This window comes from Homo sapiens, chromosome 7 (genome assembly GCF_000001405.40).
Source record: "Homo sapiens chromosome 7, GRCh38.p14 Primary Assembly".
Lineage (NCBI taxonomy): Eukaryota > Metazoa > Chordata > Mammalia > Primates > Hominidae > Homo > Homo sapiens.
The window spans coordinates 69,803,789-69,825,947 of NC_000007.14; the positions used below are offsets into that span (position 1 = coordinate 69,803,789).

Sequence of the window (22,159 nt, forward strand, 5' to 3'; positions counted from 1 at the left end):
GGAGGCCAAGGCAGGAGGATTGCTTGATTCTATGAGTTTCAGACCAGCCTGGGCAACATGACAAGACACTGTCTCTACAAAATAAACAAACAAATTAGCCAGGCGTGGTTCCAGGCACCTGTGGTTCCAGCTACTCAGGAGGCTGAGGTGGGAGGATCATTTGAGCCTGTGTGGTTGCGGCTGCAGTGATCATTGTTTGCACCACAGCACTCTAGCCTGGGTGACAGAGTGAGACTCTTGTCTCAAAGAAAATTTTTTTTCATTTTCCATTGACACCATACTAAACAACGTGTATTTCCAGAATCAACCTTTATTTCCCTAAGAAAATGTAGATTGTGATGTCCCTGGTGAGCAATAAGTTAATATTGGCTGATAGTATTTGAGCAGCAGTGACAGATAGGAGGAAGACAGGAGGGAAGAGATGGGAGTGTTGCTGGGGGAGTGGGTGTGAAACCATAACACACATATATGGTCACGTACACATCTGTAGTTTACTCAAATGGCATTTTCACAAAGCACAGTAGTGTTGCAGGTATCCCCCAGTGGGCACACAGAGCTTTCAGTCCTCACTGTGTGAAACTTCTCATACCTTTGATGTTGAATTTAAGTTCATTAGTGGCTCCTATAGCATGTCAGAGGTTTACCTCACTTGGTTCCTGACTCAACTCTGAAATGCTGAGTTTAGGGTGGATTTGAAGTGTCACCTTCGTCTCTACTTTCTAAGAGTCAGTAAAGAGCTGCCATGATAGTTAATCCTATAGTGCCTCCAATGAAGACTTAAATATACTTACTAGCCCAGACTTTGCTTTATCATTCTCCTGATCTATTAGTTTTATTCCTGTTGACAGCCAAAATGTAGGATCATGAACCCCACAGTTACATGGATGGTGACAGACCTGAGTTGTTGTCGAGAATCGTGCTGAGTTTTGTTATCACATTTCTTGTCTCGATTTGTAGCATCTCTGGATTTTACTTCTTTACCAGAATAGTGGTTATCAAAGTGTGGTCTTCGAAGCAGCAATATCATCATCATCTGGGAACTTGTTTGCAATGCAGATTTCCAAGGCTCTACCATGACTTCCTGAATCAGAAACCTTTGAGGAGGAAGCCAGCAATCTGTGTCTTAACAAGCCCTCCTGTGATTATACCCAACTTTAAGAATCACTACACAGACAGACGTTGCTTTCCTTTTAGTCTCTTGAGCTTGTAACAGTTGATATTTTAACTTTTATATGAGAGAGGACAGTTATATCTTCCTTTAAACTCTTATTTGGTGCAGTTGATTGTCAGATGCAGAGTGCTGATGTGAGGATGGACTGTGAATATGATCCACTGTGGCAGTGTTTATAGTCTCAGCCCAATGCCTTGTTGACTTAAGTAGCAGCCTTGATAACAGGAGATAAATCTGCAAAGATACTGTGAGGTTACATGGCAAGGCTTTTAAAATACACCAACATTACATTTGTGGCAAGTGCTTTGCTCAATGTTGGCATTTTTGAAGTCACCCTTTACCTCTGCCCCCTGCCCAGAAATTTCCTTGTGAGAAATGTTTTTACGTTAGACAAACTGCCATGGGGGAGGATAGTCAGAAAGAGGAGACAAATAATACGCAGAGGCAGACTTTTTTTTACATTTGTTGCTCAGAAGAAAAAAATTCCAATGAAGAATGAAAGAGGCTTCATATCCTGAATAAAGTAAATGATCTGGGTAGGATGGTACAGGAATAGAATGTGACTATAAAAAAGAACCAAATTGTGCAGACAAGAAAATATGAAGGAAAAAAGAATAGGAAAAAGACAGGGAAAATGCAAATTCTTATGGAATATTTTTGCAAATCTGTGTACAGAAGGAACCAAGCAACGCAGATCAGTTCTTCTGAGGCTGGGAGTTCTAAAAATTATGCAGTATCAAGGAAGGCTTTCTTCCTGAGTCAAGTGTAGGAAGCAGAACCAACCTTTATTTCTCTATGAAGATGTATATTGTGATGTCCCCAGTGAGCAATAAGTTAATATTGGATGATAGTATTTAGGCAGCAGTGACAGAAAGTTTTCTTTCTCCTGACTGAATCTCACACCAAGGTCCCTTTTTATTTTTAATTGTTTAGTTTAATTTTTGTTTTTTGTTTTTTGAGACAGGGTCTTACTCTGTTGCCCAGGCTGGAGTGCAGTGGCGCGTTCATAGCTCAACTACATCCTCAAACTCCTAGGCTCACACGATTCCCCCACCTCAGCCTCCTGAGTAGCTGGGACTATAGGCACGTGACACCACACCTGGCTAATTTTGTAACTTTTGATAGAGACACACACGGTCTTGGTCTTGCTATGTTGCCCAGGCTGGTCTCAAGCGGTCTTCCTACCTCCACCTCCCAAAGTGGGATTACAGATGGGAGCCACCATGCCCAGCCAAGGCTTTTTTTTTTTTTTTTTTTTTTTTTTTTTTTAAACCAGCGTCACAACCACAGAAGAAAGACAAGAGGAAGATATGAAGACAAAACTCAATTTTTTTTACTTAGTGTGTCTAGGTAAAGGTTTAGTAGGAGATAATGTAGAAATGAAATATGATAATAGCTTATTTGTGTTGAGTGCTTTGATGTATGAGGCATTATTCTAAGGGCGTTATACTTGTTGAACTGTCTACTTCTTACAGAGTCTGATGAGCTACACTCTGTTTGTGTATTTGTTTTTGGTGGCTTTTTTGAGACAGAGGCTCACTCCACTGTCCAGGCTGGAGTGCAGCGGTGCCATCACGGCTTACTGTAGCCTCGATTTCCCAGGTTTAGGTAATTTACCCACATCTCAGCCTCCCAAGTAGCTGGGACTGCAGGTGTGCACTACCACGCCTGGCTAATTTTTTTGATGAGCTAGACTCTGTTACCCTCATTTGCTAGTTCATGAAATTGAGGCAGAGAGAGAAAGTAAGCAATCTGGCCAAGGCCACACAGCTAGCAAATGGGATTTAATCCCTAGCATTTTCATTCCAGAGCCTTGCCTTTAGCCATCACACTCTACTGTTTCTCTTCCATAGTCGTCTTCTTTCTTGTGATTCCAAGTTAAAGAATTGTCATGGATGAGCTTTTTCCAGGAGTAAAGGTACTTGTTGGACTCTTCATCAGATTTGGTCGCGGGAAAAGAGGTTGTTGCTCTTCCTTAGAGACCTGTTCTTTCTGCATTTAAAATCTGAGTGTAAATTTTTTTTTAGCTGGAAATTTTAAACGTGTAGCAAGTGTGGCCAGCTTGCTCTTGTAATGTTTAGTTTCCTGGACCTCATGTTGCCTCCCTAAAACTTAAATGGGGTTGTGGTTGCACAACAGTATCATGGAAATGAAATGAATCTTAAGCCTAATGAGTTTGAATAAGATGAGCACAATCTAATTTTGTTTCCAGTCGTTTTTCCTCCTTTAAACAAAGAATATCATGCCAAATTGGAAACATTGGATTGTGTCACTGTGGGTATTTATTTTTTACTACATGTCACCAAGATCCAGATTTGTTGAGTGTATTAGTTACATATGGGGTAAAATTCTGATTTTTTAGGTGTATTAGTTATGTATGGGGTACAAAATTACCACAAAACTTACCATCTTAAAACAGCAAACTTTTACTATCTTAGTTTATGTGGGTCAGGAATTTCTGAGTGACTTATCTGGGTAGTTCTTGCTTGACTTCTCTTTTGAGATTCCAGGAGTAAAGGTACTTGTCAGACTCTTCATCAGATTTGGTCCCGGGAAAAGAGGTCATTGCTCTTCCTTAGAGACCTGTTCTTGTTGCATTTAAATTCTTAGTGTAAATTTTTTTTTAGCTGGAAATTTTCAACCTGTGTAGCAAGTGTGGCCAGCTTGCTCTTTTAATGTTTAGTTTCCTGGACCTGCAGCCGAAATGTTATCTGGGGCCACTGTCATCTGAATGTTTGACTGGAGCTGGAGAGTCTGCTTCTAAGATGGCTCATTCATATGGCTTTTGGCAGGAGGCCTTGGTTTCTCACCACATGGACTTCTTAACATGACAGCTGGTTTTACCAGCGTGACTGATTCAAGAGAGAGAAAAATGACCTAATCTTGCAAGTCAGACACTGTCACTTCTGCCACATTCTGTTAGTCAGAAGCAGGTCATTAATGGCAGCCTGCACTCAAGGGGAGGAGAATTAGGCCCAAGCTTTTTTTTTTTTTTTTTTTTTGAAATGGAGCCTTGCTCTGTTGCCCAGGCTGGAGTGCAGTGGCACGATCTCCCAGGTTCAAGCAGTTCTCCTACCTCAGCCTCCGGATCCTGAGTAGCTGGGACTACAGGCTTGCACTACCATGCCTGGCTAATTTTTGTATTTTTAGTAGAGACGGGGTTTTACCATGTTGTTCAGACTCATCTTGAACTCCTGACCTCAGGTAATCTGCCCGCCTCTGCCTCCCAAAGTGGGGATTACAGGTGTGAGCCACCGCACTCCGGCCAAGGCCGCACTTTTGAAGGGAGGAGCATTAAATTGTGGACGTATTTTAACCACCATAGTAGGCCTGACTCCACACCTACTAAATCAAACTCTCTGGGTATAGTAATTTTCATTTTTAAGATTCTCTCAAATGATTTTTATACACACTTAAAATAGAGGACAACTGGGTATCTAGAAGTAAATGAATGCTATCATGGCACTATACTAGTTTATTTAAAAGGCCAGATGTTTTTCACATGTTTAGCATTCTAAATATTTGAGGTTTGTGGATGAGGTCACTTGGAAGTAAAAAAAAAATTTTTTTTCAGGTTTGCGCTTAGGCACTAAATCATATACTAGGTAATATAGTACACTCTGCTCAGACTGCATTTTATCTGGATGGGCCCTTAGCTTTTTTTCTGTTGCTCATTCAGGCAGATGAGCCCCACTCTAATGTAGCCTGTGGTATCTGACCAGCTGCTCTCAGTGCATATAGCCCAAGCAGGAGCTGTAGCTCCTGATTAGAAAGAATGAAGTATATGTCTGGGCAGGGCAAGCCAAAAGGGATTCTGAGGTTCTTGTCTCAAGATCCAGGGTGAACCAGGCACCATCTGATGATGGTCTTTGGCTCATTGGCTCCTACAGCTGCATACTTTGTTAGGAGACATGAGGGGTACAGAACCAGGAGTTTGCAAAGAACAATCATTTGCCTTCTGGAGCCCTTCTAACCTGGACATCACACCCTTTTGATGTTAAATGACAGACGTCTGGCTCTGTGTGACATCATACCTATCTTATCTTAGTGTACCTCAGCTAACCTCCTGAGGCTTTTGGTGGGGAATCAGGCCTCATTCCCCATCATAGACATAATTTCCTTTTTTTTTTTCTGAGATGGAGTCTCGCTCCGTTGCCCAGGCTGGAGTACAGTGGCGCGATCTCGGCTCACTGCAAGTTCCGCCTCCCAGGTTCACACCATTCTCCTGCCTCAGCCTCCCCAGTAGCTGGGACTGCAGGCACCCGCCACCACGCCTGGCTAATTTTTTGTATTTTTTTTTGGTAGAGACGGGGTTTCACTGTGTTAGCCAGGATGGTCTCCATCTCCTGACCTCGTGATCTGCCCGCCTTGGCCTCCCAAAGTGCTGGGATTACAGGCGTGAGCCACCACGCCTGGCCGATCATAGACATCATTTTCTTACCTTCCCATTCACATTAGCTCTTAGCCATCTGAATGCATGCCTACAAGGAATGCAATTGGTTGCTTAAGAACGGAGGAAACATGTTATGGAAATCTATACTTCTCTTCAAATGTTTGTACCACTCACCTACCCAATTCCCTTCCCACCCCAATCAAAAGACAAATACCCATGCTCAGAACCTGGGGGCTCACATTTTACCTGAAATTCCACAAGTAACAGAAGCACACATTTAGGGGATAAAACCCTAGAGAGAGAGTAACACAATCCTGGCTGCCATCTCAGAACAAGAGAGCATTGTACCCAGAGTCCATGATCACATACTGGAATGACTGTGTGACGGAGCTGACATGCCCCAATAGGTACAACAGATTGTTCTGCTTGTAACCAATCAATACCACAATTAACAAATATTTATTGAACACCCCGGAAGCACCCTGGTATATACTGTCCTCATCAGCTATTTGTTAGAATAACACGAAACCTCCTGATCCTCTGTCTGCCTTCAGGCTTGCCTCTGCCCCAATAAAATCAATTCTCTACATCAAAACCAGAGTGACTTTTCCTAAAATATACACATTTGACCAGGTCATTTACCTTGAAATGTTCTGGTTGATGTTCAGCATCCAGATAAAGCCCACACTTCCCAGCATGACCTAAGAACCTGACCGTGTGACTCTGCTTCCCTCTTACAGCTTCTCCACACATGTTCCAGCGTCCAGGCACTCTCCACTCCTCGTGCCTCCCACCATGCCCACCTCTCTTGTCCTTCCCATCTTTATGTGCCACATAACAGCGGCTAAGAGTGCCGGCGTCAGAGCTCATAAGGCTTTGATTCAAAACCCAACTCTATGACTTAATAATTGTAGAGTCTTGGGTAAATTACTGGATGTTTCTGAGCCTCAGATTCTTCGTATACAAAAATAAACCACCAGCCTCACAGGATTCTCATAAGGATTAACTGTGATCATATTTAAAATGTTTAGCACAGTGCCTAGCCCATAATTAAGACTGAGTAAATATTGCTATTGCTATATTGATGTATGGAAAGCCCTTGGCACACAGTAGTTGTTTAATTAAAAAAAAAAAAAGATCCTTGTCTCCGGGAGCCTCAGTTTTTTTTTGATCATTGGAACTTCTCAGTGTGACATTCAGAGTTTGATATAGGAGTGGGGATGGCATTGGTGTGGGTAGAGAACTAGGGTTTTGAGGGAAAGAGAGAGAAAGTTGATAGGAGGAGCATAGATGTAAAAACCATTGTGTGTTTCCATGTGATCTTCCTTCCGTTTGAATATGACTAAAAATGTCATTCGTTTTGGGGCAGGGAAAAATGGTAGACTAGGATTCGGAAGAAACTGACATTCTGACGTTGAGTAAGTCACTGCTTTGCGCCTTTATTAGTTCATATGTAAAATTGGTTCATCAGATACTGTTTTTGAGAGCTTTTTAAAGACTAGAAAACATAACGTGAAATAAAATGACAATATTATACCCCTAATTCTACATTTACAGCATATTCAACATTTTTTTGAAAGCAACATTTTTGTTTACACATAACAGATGCTGAAGCACACAGCCCCCTAGAAATGGAGGTTGCCAGGAGGATAAAGAAGATCATGAATGCTGCCAGTGTCTCTAATCTTTGCCCTCATTCCTTGTGTGTCTCTCATTTGAGAAGTTCTCACCTTTCCTGGGGGTTCTCTGGCCAGAGTGTTTTTACTCTGCACCACTCTACCTGCCGTTGACTGGGTTACCTTCATAAAAGAGGAATCTGAAGGGCCTTATGGGAAGAGTACTGCTGGTGGACACATGGAATCAGGAAGCATAGTTTGAAATCTAGCACAGATTAAAACTTGACCTAACACTCAAAAGGTTTTCTTCTCTGTGATCTAGGGCTCTCTGTGGTCACCATATTGCATCACTATGAGGTTTAAGATGAATGTGTGGGTACCTAGCAAAGGTCTGGCATGTGATGGATACAGGACAGTCTTGTCTTTTCCTACTTGGACACCTGAGATAGTTCCCCAGTGTACCCTGAATATCTGAATCCAAAATCTTCAGTCAAGAAGGAGCCTCTACGGACTAGATCCAAGCCTCCCTTTCTGATCTTATTTCTATTCATTACCTTCATGCTCCCCCTCCCGTCCATAATAATTATCCTCCAGACTCAAGGCCCTTCACGTGATTTTTAGTTTATTACACCTTAGCTTTTCCTTTCTTCTGTATAGACTTTGCTGTACCTGCAATAAGTGATACCTTTCCCAGGTCCATGGGACTTGAAAATCCTGTTTCCATCAAGCTTTTCCGCAAACCACCCCTCCTCACCAGGTGGGAGCCATCGTTCATTCCCTGTTCCCCCAATGCATGTTGTTTTGCTTCTATTATAGCTCTTATCACAGTCTGCCTTGTAGCATAGTCATTTCTGTGTGTTTTCCCTCTGGATTCGGAGCCCCTGGAGGGCAAAGACTATGTTTTATTTTATGCTGTATTTCCCCACCCCCACAGTGCCTAGTGCAGTAGGGGTTTGGTAAATACTGCTTGAATCAATGCATGAATGAAATTGCCTCTCCTAGTTCTGTTTGCAAGGCTGTAATGCAGACCAGGTGAATGTAGAATTTTGGCTTACTGGATTTAGTTTAGCATAGGAAGGGAGTTTTCCAAGAAGCAATAGTGGTTTTGAAAACAGAAATTGCCTTTAATCTTGTGGAAAACATATGCCAGCCCTCTCCATAATAGTCTCAATTACAGGAGAGCATCGTGTTACTGTAAAAACACAAATAAATAAACCCATGACAATACTGTGTTTGGGAGATAAAAACCACATAAAAGCCATCTTTCCCCAACTCTCCAGCATCATAATTAGGGTATTTCTGGGAGGAGAAAAAAAAGACACCAGCAAAAAACAAGTGATACTATGTTTAAGAACACTTCTTGCTATTGGCAAGATGGGAGTAGGGAGTTAGATTTTCCATACAGCACAAATACAAGGGTTCTTCCCAGCTCCTACCAGGCTTGATGCTATATAGATTACACTGCATGATAAATTTGGGCACTAGAGGTGCCAAAGATGGTGGCAGAACCTGGAGGGCAGAAAATGTCACCCAGAAGGTGATGCTGTGAAATTTATTGCTCTGCCACACTTTACCTAAACATGTCCTATTATTCTGAATGCTGGGTCTTCATTGGCTCAGGGATGCCCTTGGTGCGTCCGTTGCCATGGGCTACAACTTTCAACTGTATTTTGTTTATTGCTGGTCATTTAAGTCTCTATCTGGTTTTTTTTTCTTTTAACTTGAGGGCTCCAGATTTAGGTTCTTTTGAGGTAAGAGTAGGAATGACTTTGAAATATTGCCTACTTTTGTCAGTATTAGTTAACAAGCACTGAGGGCTGAATGACACTGAACAGAACCCAGCCATTTCTCAGCACCTCTGTTGCCACTACCCTGGTCTGAGTTGCCATCATGTTTCACCTGGACTGCCTCAGTAGCCTCCCACCTGACCTCTTTGCTCCTACTTTGCCTCCCTGCAGAGTGTTCTTCACTCAGCAACCAGAGTGGCCCTTTTAAAATGTACTTTAGATCATATCACTCCTCAGTTCAAAATCCTCCAGAGTGCCTCCCATTTCACTAAGAATGCAATTCAAAGACCTTACTTACCATGGCCTACAAGACACTGCACGGTCTAGTGCCTGCTATCTCTCACCCCATCTCCTACTATCCCCTTAGATTAATCCTCTCTGACCCTTCAGCTTGCTTGCTGTTCTTGAACCTGGTCAAGCATTTCCCAACTCAGAGTCTTTGCATTATTGTTCTCTTAGCCTGGAACATTTGGTCCCAGATATAAACACATGGTTCATACTCTCACTTCCTTCAGGCCCCTGAGTGTCACCTTGTTGGGGAGGTCCTGTCCACCTGTATTTCTATTGCTGGAGCAAGCACTTAGGAAGTCTTTGTTGGAATTGTGAATAAGCATTGCCCAGAGATTCTAGCACATTTGGAAAAAGAGAGTGTGGTTTAGAAGGACAGTGGCTCTGGAGTTGGAGCAGTTGGGCACTGCTGGGTTTGCCTGCCCCCCATTGGATAGATGGCTGATGTTGGGAAAATTATTTAACCTTTCTAAGCCTAGGTTTCTCTACTAGTTAAATGAGATTATGTCTATCTCTCAGAATCGTTGTGAAGAGTAAGTCAGATAATGACTGCAAAGTGCTTGGCAATGAGTCTTGTACACATACTGGGAGGCTTCCTAAATACCACTTCTCACAAATCCTACTTCCTGCTTGTGAAATCATGTTATATGGAAGAAGGGGAGTGTCTGAAAATGGTTTGAATCTTGTGTGTAATTCTCAAGTACCAGCAAGTAGTTGTGATTATATTTAAAGCACCTAGCCCTGTGCTTGGCATATGGCAGGCCTTAATAAATACCCAAGTCTTCCTGCTTTTAATCATCAGACTTAGACTCTGGGTGTGAACTAAGGTAGCTCTGTGGGCACACAGGGATTTTGGTAAACAGAAAAAGAAGTCAGCAGCTGAGGTAGGGGTGGTTCACAGTCTTGCTTGTGGTTCAACAGGGACTGCATTTATGAAAATGGCAAGTGAGCCCAGGGCAATTGGAACTTTGGGCCTTGCCAGCAAGTGTGGTATTTCAGTTTACATCCTCAGAGTAAGTACAATTTCACCATTATTCCATTGAGGCTCTCCTTGCCAAGAAAAACCCATTGTAAATTTCTGGTTTAAAGGTTCTGCAGTTTTAGGGAGTTGTACTTTTTGTTGCTTTAACATTTTCTTGGCACCACACATTTTAAGCTGCACTGGCTTACCTTGTAAATAGTATACACATTTTGTGAAAAGCTGAACCACGTCATTTGTTTTCCTATGTTCCTTATGGGAAATGGTGATGCTTCTGCCCCACTAGTTCCCCTGGGTTTCTGATCAGGCAGTTTGGAGTGAGAAAATGAGACTGAGACAAAATATAGATTGTCAGCAAGAGATTGGAGCTGTATTCACAAAAGCACTTTGTGGACATGGTAGAGCCAGGCAGGAGAGAAAAGTCTGTGGCCGGCAGGGTGTCTGTGTGACGTGGACCCATTGTGTGTATGGGCTCCTCCCGCTGTACCAGTGGCCAGCTCCCAGCCAGGCCACCCGGGCGAGGGCCTCTGAAGCAGAGAGCCCTGCACAGTCTGGAGCCGCTCTAACCCAGTGTACTGAATAGGACTCCAAAGAATAGGAGCTGTGTTCCCTTTGTCACCTGCAACCCTGCTTTCAGCCTGCACAGTGAATGTGCACTTGGGGGCTGAATTGGCACTTGGAAAAATCTGCAGGAACTTTGTGTGTGCACAGCGTGTGCCCAGCGGTATGGGCGAATGGAGCGTGCACGCTGGAGATGTCTGGGGGCTGGGTGCTTGCAGAGGAGGGCTGACCTCTTTATGCTGCAGGGTTTGCCAAGAATGCTCCGCCCTTGACAGTGTTGTGGCCAACAGAAAAGCATTCGTGGCATCTTAATGAAAGGCAGCAGTTCCTTTTTTCAAGAATGATAGGCATTCTTTTCTTGAGCGAGGTCCCCATTTAGGGATGGAGAGAGAAGCCAATTATTTTTCAGTTAAAATTTATTTTTTAAAATAGTGATGCCTCAGTTGTAAATTACCCTGGCTTTGCCATGAAGACATTTACAGCTAGCCTTCTGACTTGGTTTTAAGTTGCTGCCTTGTAGAATAATAAAATAGTAGCCCAAACTGTGATAAGGCATCAAAGACTTTCATATCCTATCTGTGTAGCTGATGTGCGTTGCTCCATAGCTAGAAAATGGATATATTTTCTGAAAGGGAATGGGTGTATTTCCCTTTACCTTGCAGCTTGCACATAATCGAACACTTCTTTTATTGAAATTGGGGGTTTTCTCCCTTGGACTTAATAAGGAGATATAGATATCTATATATCTATATATCTATATCTCCTTAAGAGGGAGTTTCATAAGTTCAAAAGTTGTCAGGTTGAAAGGATTGAGGTATTGGAAACAACAATCTTAAAGTTACCTTTGGAATGATAGATCTTTGAAAAAAACAGGTAGTTTATAGTACATTGGAGGAAATGCTCTGTTGTTTTGCATCTTCTCCAGGCCTCTTTATGACTACTTTTTTTTTGAGATGGAGTCTCACTCTGTCGCCAGACTGGAGTGCAGTGGCATGATCTCAGCTCACTGCAACCTCCGCCTCCCAGGTTCAAGTGATTCTCCTGCCTCAGCCTCCCAAGTAGCTGAGACTACAGGCACATGCCACCATGCCCAGCTAATTTTTGTATTTTTAGTAGAGACAGGGTTTCACCATGTTGGCCAGGCTGGTCTCGAACCCTTGACCTCGTGATCCACCTGCCTTGGCCTCCCAAAGTGCTGGGATTACAGGTGTGACTACTTTTTTAAATGCTTCAATGAAACTTAACATGATGACCTACACATTTCAGCTGCGCATATGTTCTACCTGTTAATGGTGAGATACAACAGAGCCATCTTTGACTACTTCACGCTGTTTACTCTAAGAGGCCTGTATCATTAGATGACTTCCTGTTGGAAGCAGTAATTTGTGTTTGGACTTGGGTGACTGTCAGTATGAATCTAGCCAAGAAAGGTCATGTCACCTGCTACACAGTTTGCTAGAGGGAATACAGGCCAAGCCTTTTGCCTCTGAAATCAAAGTACTGTAGAAGGTGTAATAGAAATGATGCCTAGGTTTGTGTATTCAGGGCCTGAGTTTCTGATTAAAGCTGTTAACAATGGGGGCAAGCTTTCCCCGTGGGAGACAGGCTTCTTGGATCTAAACCTTTCTGACATCTCAAAGCTTTATTTCCTGATGATTTCTAAAAGGGAAGGAGCCAGCCCCTTGAAATTAAAATATCGACTTACATTCCGTTCTCCCCAGACGGAAGAATATTAGCAGATTGAATCAGTTGGGGTTAGTACTTTCTTTTATGTGTTAAACTCAGTTATTCTGGCTAAGATCAGATTTTTGTCTAGGACGGAGCTGAAACACATGCGGAATCTTGTTGGTTGAGGGCTGGAAACGAAGGTTGGCTTCACACAGGTTGCTTCTCCAAACCGTAGGTAAGCTCTTCGGCCCCGTGCACAGCATTCACAGCTGCTGTCTGCTGCGCTTTCTTGCTCCATCCTGTCTAGTCTCAGAAGTTTCATGGTACTAATATCTTGGATCCTTACAAAGGACTGACTTTTGACCCAGTTGACTGATAACTATAGAGTACTTTACAGTTTACCAAGAGCTTTCCTTCATGTTTGCTCTTTACATCAAAATTACAAGATGGGTTTTATTATCCACATTCTTTTTGTAGATATGAGGGCCAGAGAGGTTATGAGTTAGCCAAAGTCTATCCAGTAATTGACAGAGCCAAGATTCTAGGCTGGGACATCTGATTCCAAATCTACTGCTCTTCATGCTCCTTTATACTGCAGCTACTTACCTGCTCAAAGTATGTCATTCACTCATTCGTTCAGCAAGTTCTTGGTGGCATGGGCTTTGAAGCCAGACAGCTGGGTCCCAGTATCTGCTCACTAGCTTTGTGACCTCTGTTACCTCTTGGAACCTCAGTTCTTTCATCAGCAAAATGAAGATAGTAATAGTACCTATCTAGGAAGGCTGTTGTGGAGTCCTTTAAACAGTGCTCTGGACATAGCAAATACTCCATAAATGTTTGCCATTCTTCTTCATCATGGGCTCACTCAGTGGTACAGGGACTCCACACCAGTGACAGCACTGCTGTTGAGGATCACTTGTTCTGATGCAAATATGAAAATAGAAGACTGACAATTGCATAGTAAAGGGATTGCTAAGATATAAGCAGGATGCTGGGGAAGCTTGAAGGATGAACAGCTGTGTTTTCGATTGCCAAGAACTCGGCTCTCTAGCAGCTCACCCTTGTTGCCTCTACCCCTATTTGGTCACATTCCTGTCTTACTCATTCCTTGCTGAAGGCAGTATTTAATGTGCAGGGGTTTTATGGGTACTTTGTGTATAACCTCTTTGAGGAGGAAGAGAAGGAGAGTATGTCTGGCTAAGGGAACCTTAGTGGTCATTTGGGATTATAAGACCTATATTTAACAGTTGGAGGACTGTTCAAGACAAAATAGATTCCAAGGTTCTGGTGTGCAGTGTTCTGTCTGAGCACCACAGGATATCATATGTGAGTGGCTTCCAGTGGGTTGCTGAGGGAGGGGACTTTGTGGGGGAAGTAGGCCTTGAGTTGGACCTGAAAGAAATGAGGATTTGGATTATGAGTAGCAGAAGCGTGGAGAGCTGGGCAGAGGTGGAGTTATGATATTTAAACCATGGCCTGCCTTGGGTGGCGGGACAGCCCTGCCCGGGGATGTGGGTGGTCCAGGAGGCAGGTGCTGTCCCCTCCTGCATGAGAACCTGCCTCTGGACCCCAACAGGATGCACACAGCTTATCCCCACCCTCTGCAAAGCTACCTAATAATATCTTTGTGTTTATGGTAATGTTTTTTGCTGATTTGGTGGGAGATAAAACCTAGAGAGACCCACAGCATGGATGCTAGGTCTGAGTGGGTCTGTGAGCTGCAACCTAGCTGCAGCCCCTTTGTTTGTGAGCTGTTTGCCTGCATTTAAATGCCATTTACATAAGGAGCTGTCAGAGTTGAGTTGGCCCATGATTATTCCTTGATGTATGTTGAAAAAAGAGAAGAAAAGAAAACCCTGGCTAATGAGGAGCTGGGTTCCTTTTCTCCATTGATGACAGCTTCCTTTCTGATCTGATGGTCCGTCAGAAACTAAGGTGGTGTGTGACTGTGGGGTTATGTCCCCGCTGAAGCCGTCTTTTCCTCAGAGTTGTAATTGATGGGGAGACCTGTCACTTGTTATGCTGATGCTGTGCAGATTTTTGTGCAGCTGCCAGCCAAGAGAGTTGTAGGACAGCATCTGATTGGGTGCAGGTTGTGGCAAAAATGATAATAAATAGAGAGCTGGTGAGGGTAGATTTTGATTGACCCGAGATTGTATATTATTAAACTGGAGTCTGCATGTACATGTCAGTTTATGAAGAACCAGACCCATAATCCAACTTTAGGACTGTGGCAGTTCGGGTTTATTAAATGTGCTTTATATCACTATTAATATTGAGGAGCAAAGAGGAATATCTGTAATCTTTTAATCTATGCAATAATGGTTTGGAGGGAGATTACCAGATACATTGGACTATTGTTTGTCTATAATTGTATTCAGAACTCTCCGAAGCATTGATTTGTTTCTGGCATGCTGATTTGGCTCAGCAGTCTCATAAAGCTCTTTTATAGTCCTCTTTGCTTTGTGTTTTCCAAAAATAATTGGAGAATAATAATAATGTGGCTGGCGATAAAGAAGAGAGAGTAAGGTTGAAAGCAAATTTCTAGCCGAGTGGATAGCCATAAACATCTTCTATGCTCATAAACACCTGGGTCTGTGACCTTTGTGTTTATAAGATATTTATCGCCTCATGGGCTCTCTGTTTGGGGGTTACCACTTCAGTGCCTTGTAAAATTTGATTGTGTTTAGTAAGTAGATTCTGAATTTTTGCTGAGTAGGGAAAAAGTGCCCCTCACCTTTGTTTTCTTTGGAACAACCAATCTGCCAAGAGGGGCAGATCTCACCAAGGACAGGAGCAGAGAGCTTGGGTGTGCCTGAGTTTTGTGGAAATGGTACAGTGGGACCCAGTAAGGGTATCTTTTGTACTTGATTAAGTGGCTTGTGATGGAAATGACTTTTGAACGGAAGGGAATTGTGCAACACATCAAATAAACTCAAGCAGTGTCGATGGGTTTTCCTTTTCCAGTAGAAATGGAATTTTTGATTCAAGTCGAGGAAGCTTTCTTGGGATTTGGATTTTTGCCACTTCCTCACCCTTTCTTCCCATTTCCAAAACAGGCCTGAGGAAATGAGCCAGAGAAATGGTCAAATTCAGTTTCATTGACTTTAATACGAAGGTATGACTAAGTGCTGCAAAAGCACAGTTGTCTTCTATCTTCAGCAGTCCTCTAAACATTTCTTGGGGAAGTTTTAGGCACTTTGTCAACCTCTATTGTCCTCCTGATGGTGTTGCTTAATTACTCTTGAAGGAAACAGTTGGATTCCTGTGAACTGATGACAGGTGTATGCTGAGCTGCCTGTGTAAACTATTGGCTGCCTGTTCATGTTGTGCACAGTGGATCAGAGGCATATGGGAGAATGTGCCAAAACGGGAATCTTAAGGGAGTTTTTTAAAAAGTAAAAATTGTTTGCTTTTTTGCTGTGGTGCGAACATGGCTCACTTCCGCCTTGACGTGCTGAGCTCAAGTGATCTTCCTGTGTCAGCTTCCCAAATAGCTGGGACCATAGGCACATGCCACTGAGCCTGGCTAATTTTAGTGTATTTTTGCAGAGACAGGGTCCCACTATGTTGCCTAAGTGGGCTCAAGTGATTCTCTGTGCCTTCCAAATCATTAGGAATACAGGCCTGAGCCACTGGGCCCAGCCCCCAGTAAGCTTTATTATAACTCAACTAGCTTCATTATAACTAAAGTATGAGCCAGTCTTGAGGTGTATAGGACCTATATTTATCAAAGGAGACTGTTCTACCTAAGACTTAGTTTCTTGTCCTATGAGGTTAATTGCTGCTGCATTTCATGGAGTTTATGAGATGTGCTTCCCTCTGCCCTTCTTCAATCAGATGGTACTGCCTGGGAGTCATATACATGCAGGACTGATAAAGAGCGGCTCCCACAGTGGCAGTACCTACAGTGGACTGTGCTGTAGGTAAAGGGAAGCTCCATCACACTGGCATGTGGGAACTGGACTAAAAGGCCACGAATCCCCCAACACTTACTCTCTGCCCAGCTTTGTGAAATACAAAATAATTATGAGTTCCAGACTCCAGAGATGCTTTCCACCTAGTTGGGGAAGGAGAAGTTTAGGTCAGTGGTTCTCTAAGTTGGTCCCCAGACAAGGAGCACCCTAATTCTCTGGGGATTTGTTAGAATTGCAGATTTTGGGGCATCGCCCAGACTAACAGAATTGGAAACCATGGATGGTGTTTTACAAACTCTGCAGGTGATTCAGATTTATGCTAAAGTTTGACAACTCCTGCTTTAGGTTCATCAGTTCCAGGGGGAATAAATGAGTAAACAAGGCACATAGAATTAAGGGCTTCCTATAGGGCACAGCGAAGGAGAGAATAAGGTGCTTTATAGCAGGATGCTAAGCTGGACTGTCAATCATGTGGGAAAGGGGTCAAAGACTGGAAGAGCAGGGATCATCAAGGCAGTGTTTGCTGGGGAGAGAAGTTATTGAGCCAGGTTTTGAGGACTGAATAGGAGAGAAAGAGGTAGAGTAGCATGAATGAGCTCAGATGTGATAGGGAGGGTTCTGTTCCTTCAAGAGCTTAGTTAAGTGTAGTGAAAACACACACACACTCCGGACAAGAAAAATTAATGTAAAATCAACTATAGAACTTAGGCAGGTTTATGAAGAAGAAAATATATTCCTCACAAGTTGGATTCCTGTGAGTTCATCTCTTTTATTACCTCTGGCAATGGTGCAATTAATTGGGGCCAGGGCTCTGCACCTGGAAAGGCTTTATAACGTGAGATTCTCAAGAGGAAGATTTTATTTGCCTAAGGCTACTACTTTAAAAGTGAGAGAGGCACTCATGAAAATTAGGGGTAACTGTAAAAAGTGATAAGCTGCTCAACATAGATTCAGTGCCCAGTATGTATAAAGTGCTGTGTGTATACTGGAGAGAGGGAACTGGAATCTAACTTGGGGATGGGGGTGGATCCAGAGGAGTAGAGATATGAAGAAATACACATTTAAGTCCAGTAAGTTTTTCATGCACCTGTAGTCCTGAGAGGTGAAGCCAGCTGGACGTCCTGGGTCGAGTGGGGACTTGGAGAACTTTTCTGTCAAGCAAGAGGATTGTAAATGCACCAATCAGCACTCTGTGTCTAGCTAAAGGATTGTAAATGCACCAATCGGCACTCTGTAAAATGGACCAGTCAGTGCTCTGTAAAATGGACCAATGAGCAGGACGTGGGCAGGGACAAATAAGGGAATAAAAGCTGGCTACCCCAGCCAGCGGTAGCAATGCAGCACTGATCCCCTTCCATACTGTGGAAGCTTTGTTCTTTCTCTCTTTACAATAAATCTTGCTGCTGCTCACTCTTAGGGTCTGCACCACCTTTAAGAGCTGCAACACTCACCGCGAGGGTCTGCAGCTTCATTGCTGAAGTCAGGGAAACCATGAACCCACCGGGAAAAACAAACAACTCCAGACGTGCCACCTTTAAGAGCTGTAACATTCACCTTGACGTCCAAGGCTTCATTCTTGAAGTCAGTGAGACCAAGAACCCACCAGAAGGAACCAACTCTGGACACAGTCCAAGCTACTCCAGAGGCTGAGGTGAGAGGATCGATTGAGCTCAGGAGGTTGAGGCTGCAGTGAGCTGTGATTGCACCACTGCACTCCAGCCTGGGCGATAGAGTGAGACAGGGTCTCCAAAAAAAAAAAAAAAAAAAAAGTCTAGTAAGTTTTTGTTTTCCTTTAAAGGCAGAGGGGAGCCACTGAAGGTTATTGAGCAGGGAAGTAACAAGATTAGAGTTGTAATCATGAATCTAATTAAAAAATCAGTGACTGGAGGGAAGTAGATGGGTTAGAAGGCTAGTCTAGTTTTAATACTGTGAGGCAGATGAGAAGGGCTTGAACTAGCAGAGTTCTAGAAAAATGGTGATGTAAGCAACAATAGAGTCATATTAGTTAAGGGTGAGAGGGAAGAAATATTTACAATTCACTGTGGACCAGCCACTTATGCCTGTCATTGGTAGAGCTTAACCATCACAATTTTAGCAACACAGAGATTGATTTTTATAGAAGGTCCAAAGGATATGTAGCTTGGAGACATATTCAAGATTTGACTCATGCTGGGTGTTATGGCTCACACCTGTAGTGGCTCACAGCTACCTGGTAGGTCAAGGTGGGAGGACTGTTTGAGCCCAGGAATTGGGACCAGTTGGGCAACACAGCAAGATCTCATCTCCAAAAGCAAAAGATTTGATTCAAGCCTGCCTGCCTGCAAAGCCTGTACCCTTTTTGCTCTAGATTCTAGACTTTGGCGAATAGAATGATACATTTTGTTTATAATTGGACAGTTGTTGATCTTGGCAGAAGTGTTGACTGCTGGGAGGTGTTAAGAGAAAGGAAAAAGCAGCATAAGATATGGAAGTTTGTTTGATGAAACTGTATCTCAAAGAGTTTAAGAGTTTTAGCACAGGACAGATAGAATCTTGCCCCACCCAAGATGATGGAAGAACAAAACAAAGTCTGTGCTGTTTTCTTTGTTAACCAGAGTTGAGAGTGGAGTCCAATCCAATATCTGCCTAGTGGGAGTCTCTTGAGTCCTGATCCCATGAGATCATACATATGGCTGCTACTCCTGTTGTGAGGAAGGTTGCAATTTTAGAAATAAACCTGGAGCTTTTGAAGGTCCTATTTATTACTTCAGCCCACTTACTGCCGAGGTCCCCATGTTTTGCAAGTGACAAAAATAAATCTAAAATGGAAAACTAGGGAGAAGGTGAGAGAAAGTGTCCAGAGAAACTGGGGACTTTGAGTTGTTTGGTCTAAGCTACTTATTTGCATTTTTGTCTCCACTTCCTAGCAAGCATATTGGTACTTAGCAATGGTGGGAGGAAGGCAGAACTGTAAAAAAAACGAAGTCATCATTCTATCCTTACACTTGAGTTTCCTTTCAGCAACCTCTCTCTCCCTTGTCTTTGTCCCGTCTCATAACTTAGGCGTGATGTGCTGCTGTATCTGCCTTGCTGCCTTCTCCTGAGTGGAAGCTGCAGCTACAGTGTTGGTTATTACACCTGGCAATTAGATTGTGCAGGACAGTAGTTGGCTAGGAATGGCATAAGGTTGCATGCCTCGTTAAATCTGAACTCCACTCAGCATAGACTCTTGTAGAAGCAAGGGGGATTTGTTTAGGTAAGGAGCCCTTGAAAGGAGCCTGCTTGTTGAACTGTATGTTGAGCAGCAGTGATGAAAAGATGCCTAAACATGTGTCCCACAGCAGCTACAGTCCATCAGCATTGGACACATTGGTAGATCACCCCTGCTGTTAACACAGGTCTTTTCAGCTTACTCGTTTGTGTACTTAACTGTTGAGTGCTCTTTTAATTAGGGGCGACTAACATCAAAGTACTATAGTTGTGCCGGGCCTGCTAATCAACAGGTTTCACTTATACTGGGGATCACTTCAGCTTTACACCACCATTATCATGACATTGATTTTTCTGTGCACATAAAAGGAAGCACTTACTGAATACAGGAAAAAATCATGATTGCTAGGTGGAAAAAAAAACAAAAAACCAGCAAGAGGAACTCAGTTACCCAGGGAAAATGTAAACGTTTCATATGAACATTGACAGTGAAATGGATTTGATGAGTTTTGAGGTGATTTTGTTAGATACTTTGAGAGAAATTGAGAATTCTGTATTCCGAAGAGACAGCCGGACTTGAAACTCTAGAGGTATGATTTTGACCAAGACCTGAACTTCTCTTTGCCTCAGTTTTTTCATCTATAAAATAGGGTTAGTAATAATACCAACCTCACTGAGATATTGTGAGGATTTTGTGAGATATTGTGAGATTGAATGATTAGCTTAGTCACTGGATGTAAGTACTCAAATTATAGCTATTAATAAGTGTGATACGGCTGGGCACGGTGGCTCACGTCTGTAATCCCAGCACTGTGGGAGGCCGAGGTGGGCGTATCACAAAGTCAGGAGTTCGAGACCATCCTGGCTAACACGGTGAAACCCCATCTCTACTAAAAATACAAAAAATTAGTCGGGCATGGTGGCACCTGTTGTCCCAGCTACTCAGGAGGCTGAGGCAGGAGAATGGCGTGAACCTGGGAGGCGGAGCTTGCAGTGAGCCGAGATCGCGCCACCGCACTCCAGCCTGGGTGACAGCGCGAGATTCTGTCTCAAAAAAAAAAAAATAAGTGTGATACTTAATGTCATAAATCATTGTTATTATTTCTGAGAACTGATATCTTGTGGTCCATTGTTGTGGCAGAAGTATAATTTATATAGGAACCGAAACCAGCCCTCGATTTTTTTTTTTAATCGCCGATCTTGGTTGGGCTTCACTATCATTTTCATCAGCTTCACAACCCCTCAGTTCTGAGAACCCTCCTTGCCATACAAGCCACTGGAGTGTCTGCGTTTCCTTTCTGTGGACATTGTCACCTTTCCCTTCATTTTGGTAAGGCCATGGAAACAGAGCAATCAGATAAAAGACCTGGGCATTTGGCACTTTCATTGGCCATACTTCTCCTTCTGGCTTGAGTTTATATGTGGTTTGGGGTAGTTACTGGTGAAATTGAGCTTTGCAGCTGTCTACTTAATCTGCATTTCCTGATCTGCTTTGGCTGGCAATCAAAAGCTGTATCTATTTCGGAGATTGCGCAATAAGACTTTTAATGACAAGTTAAAAGACAAAGGGTTGGTGGGATTGAACCTTATGCAGAAAATACTTCACTATACTTCGGTGGCTCCTGTTTACTGGTGATTTTGTGTGGATAGTAACTTAAAATCAAGAAACATTTTTGCTAACATATTTCCTGGGCCATTTTAGAAAGAAATTTCTTTATTTAGCCAGTAAGTAGAGCTTTCTTTAGCGTTTACATAGTTATCTTTTTAATATTAATTTTTGCAATCCATATGAATGAGGCCACATGTCCTTTAACAATTTTAGACCTCTTCTGTTATGCATTACTGCCATCTGTCAGTATGAGAGAAAGCTTCCTGGGGCAGAAGGACTTAAAACAATGGTTCTCAACCCTGGGGTCACATTAGAATCACTGGCAGAGCTTTTAAGAAATTTTAGTGCCTGGGCCAGTTCCAGATACATAGTTGCTCTGGGATGGGGCCCAGGCATTGATGTTTTTAAAAAACTCCCTAGGTGATTCTAGGGTATAACTGGGCTGAGAGGCTCTCCTCCGAAAGCACTGTCTTAATGGAAGAACCAGTGGCATGAGAACAGTTCTGCTTTTTCTCAGCAGTAACCTTGTTGTCTTCCATTGCAGTGCTGATTTTGACAATGGAGCCATGCGGTTGTATTTGGGTAGCGGTTTGGAGGGTAACAAGTGTGTCTTTTGTATCTCTGAATCCTCTGCAGCCAGTCTAGTGCCTGGCATATACTAGATGCTCACTATCCTCCACTTCACTTCTTTTGGATGACTAAATAATGGAATGGAGCCCAGATGTACTAGCCTTTTTACTTAATCCCTGAGCCTTTCTCCTTCAGTGGTCCGTAAGGGAGCAGGTCCACAAGCATACACTTTTATTGTTCCAGGAGGAGGAAGACGCCCAGCTTCGGAATGCTTGAGGCATAAAACTGATCCTTGGTTAAGATCAGCAGAGGCTTGCTGTGTGCAACATAAATTGTCAGGTAAAGAAGCAATTAACGTAGTGCCATTTATTTCCTCTTTAAGCATCTAGTCCTTATGAGTGTTGTGGTTCT

General features: G+C 43.0%; 1 protein-coding gene across 21 annotated transcripts in view, besides 1 other annotated feature; it reads left to right on the forward strand.

Moving 5' to 3' along the window:
- The window catches only part of AUTS2 (activator of transcription and developmental regulator AUTS2), a 1,195,032-nt gene that overhangs the window by 205,314 nt on the left and 967,559 nt on the right, over positions 1–22,159 (forward strand). Inside the window, exons 1-2 of one of the 21 annotated variants that reach the window (XM_047420167.1) lie at positions 20,814–20,899; positions 21,992–22,087. The exons of 17 other annotated variants lie outside the window; for them this stretch is intronic. The gene's annotated coding sequence lies outside the window, so the exon portion shown is untranslated. Of the gene's footprint in view, positions 1–20,813; positions 22,088–22,159 lie in introns of those variants that run through there. 3 more of the 21 variants (XM_047420166.1, XM_047420168.1, XM_011516018.3) reach the window with 3 other exon arrangements.
- Positions 345–394: an enhancer, noted in NCBI's record as "active region_26101". NCBI's record gives its function as "activates an Ori minimal core promoter by ATAC-STARR-seq in GM12878 lymphoblastoid cells {active_cell/tissue: GM12878}" and the evidence as "EXISTENCE:reporter gene assay evidence [ECO:0000049][PMID:35858748]".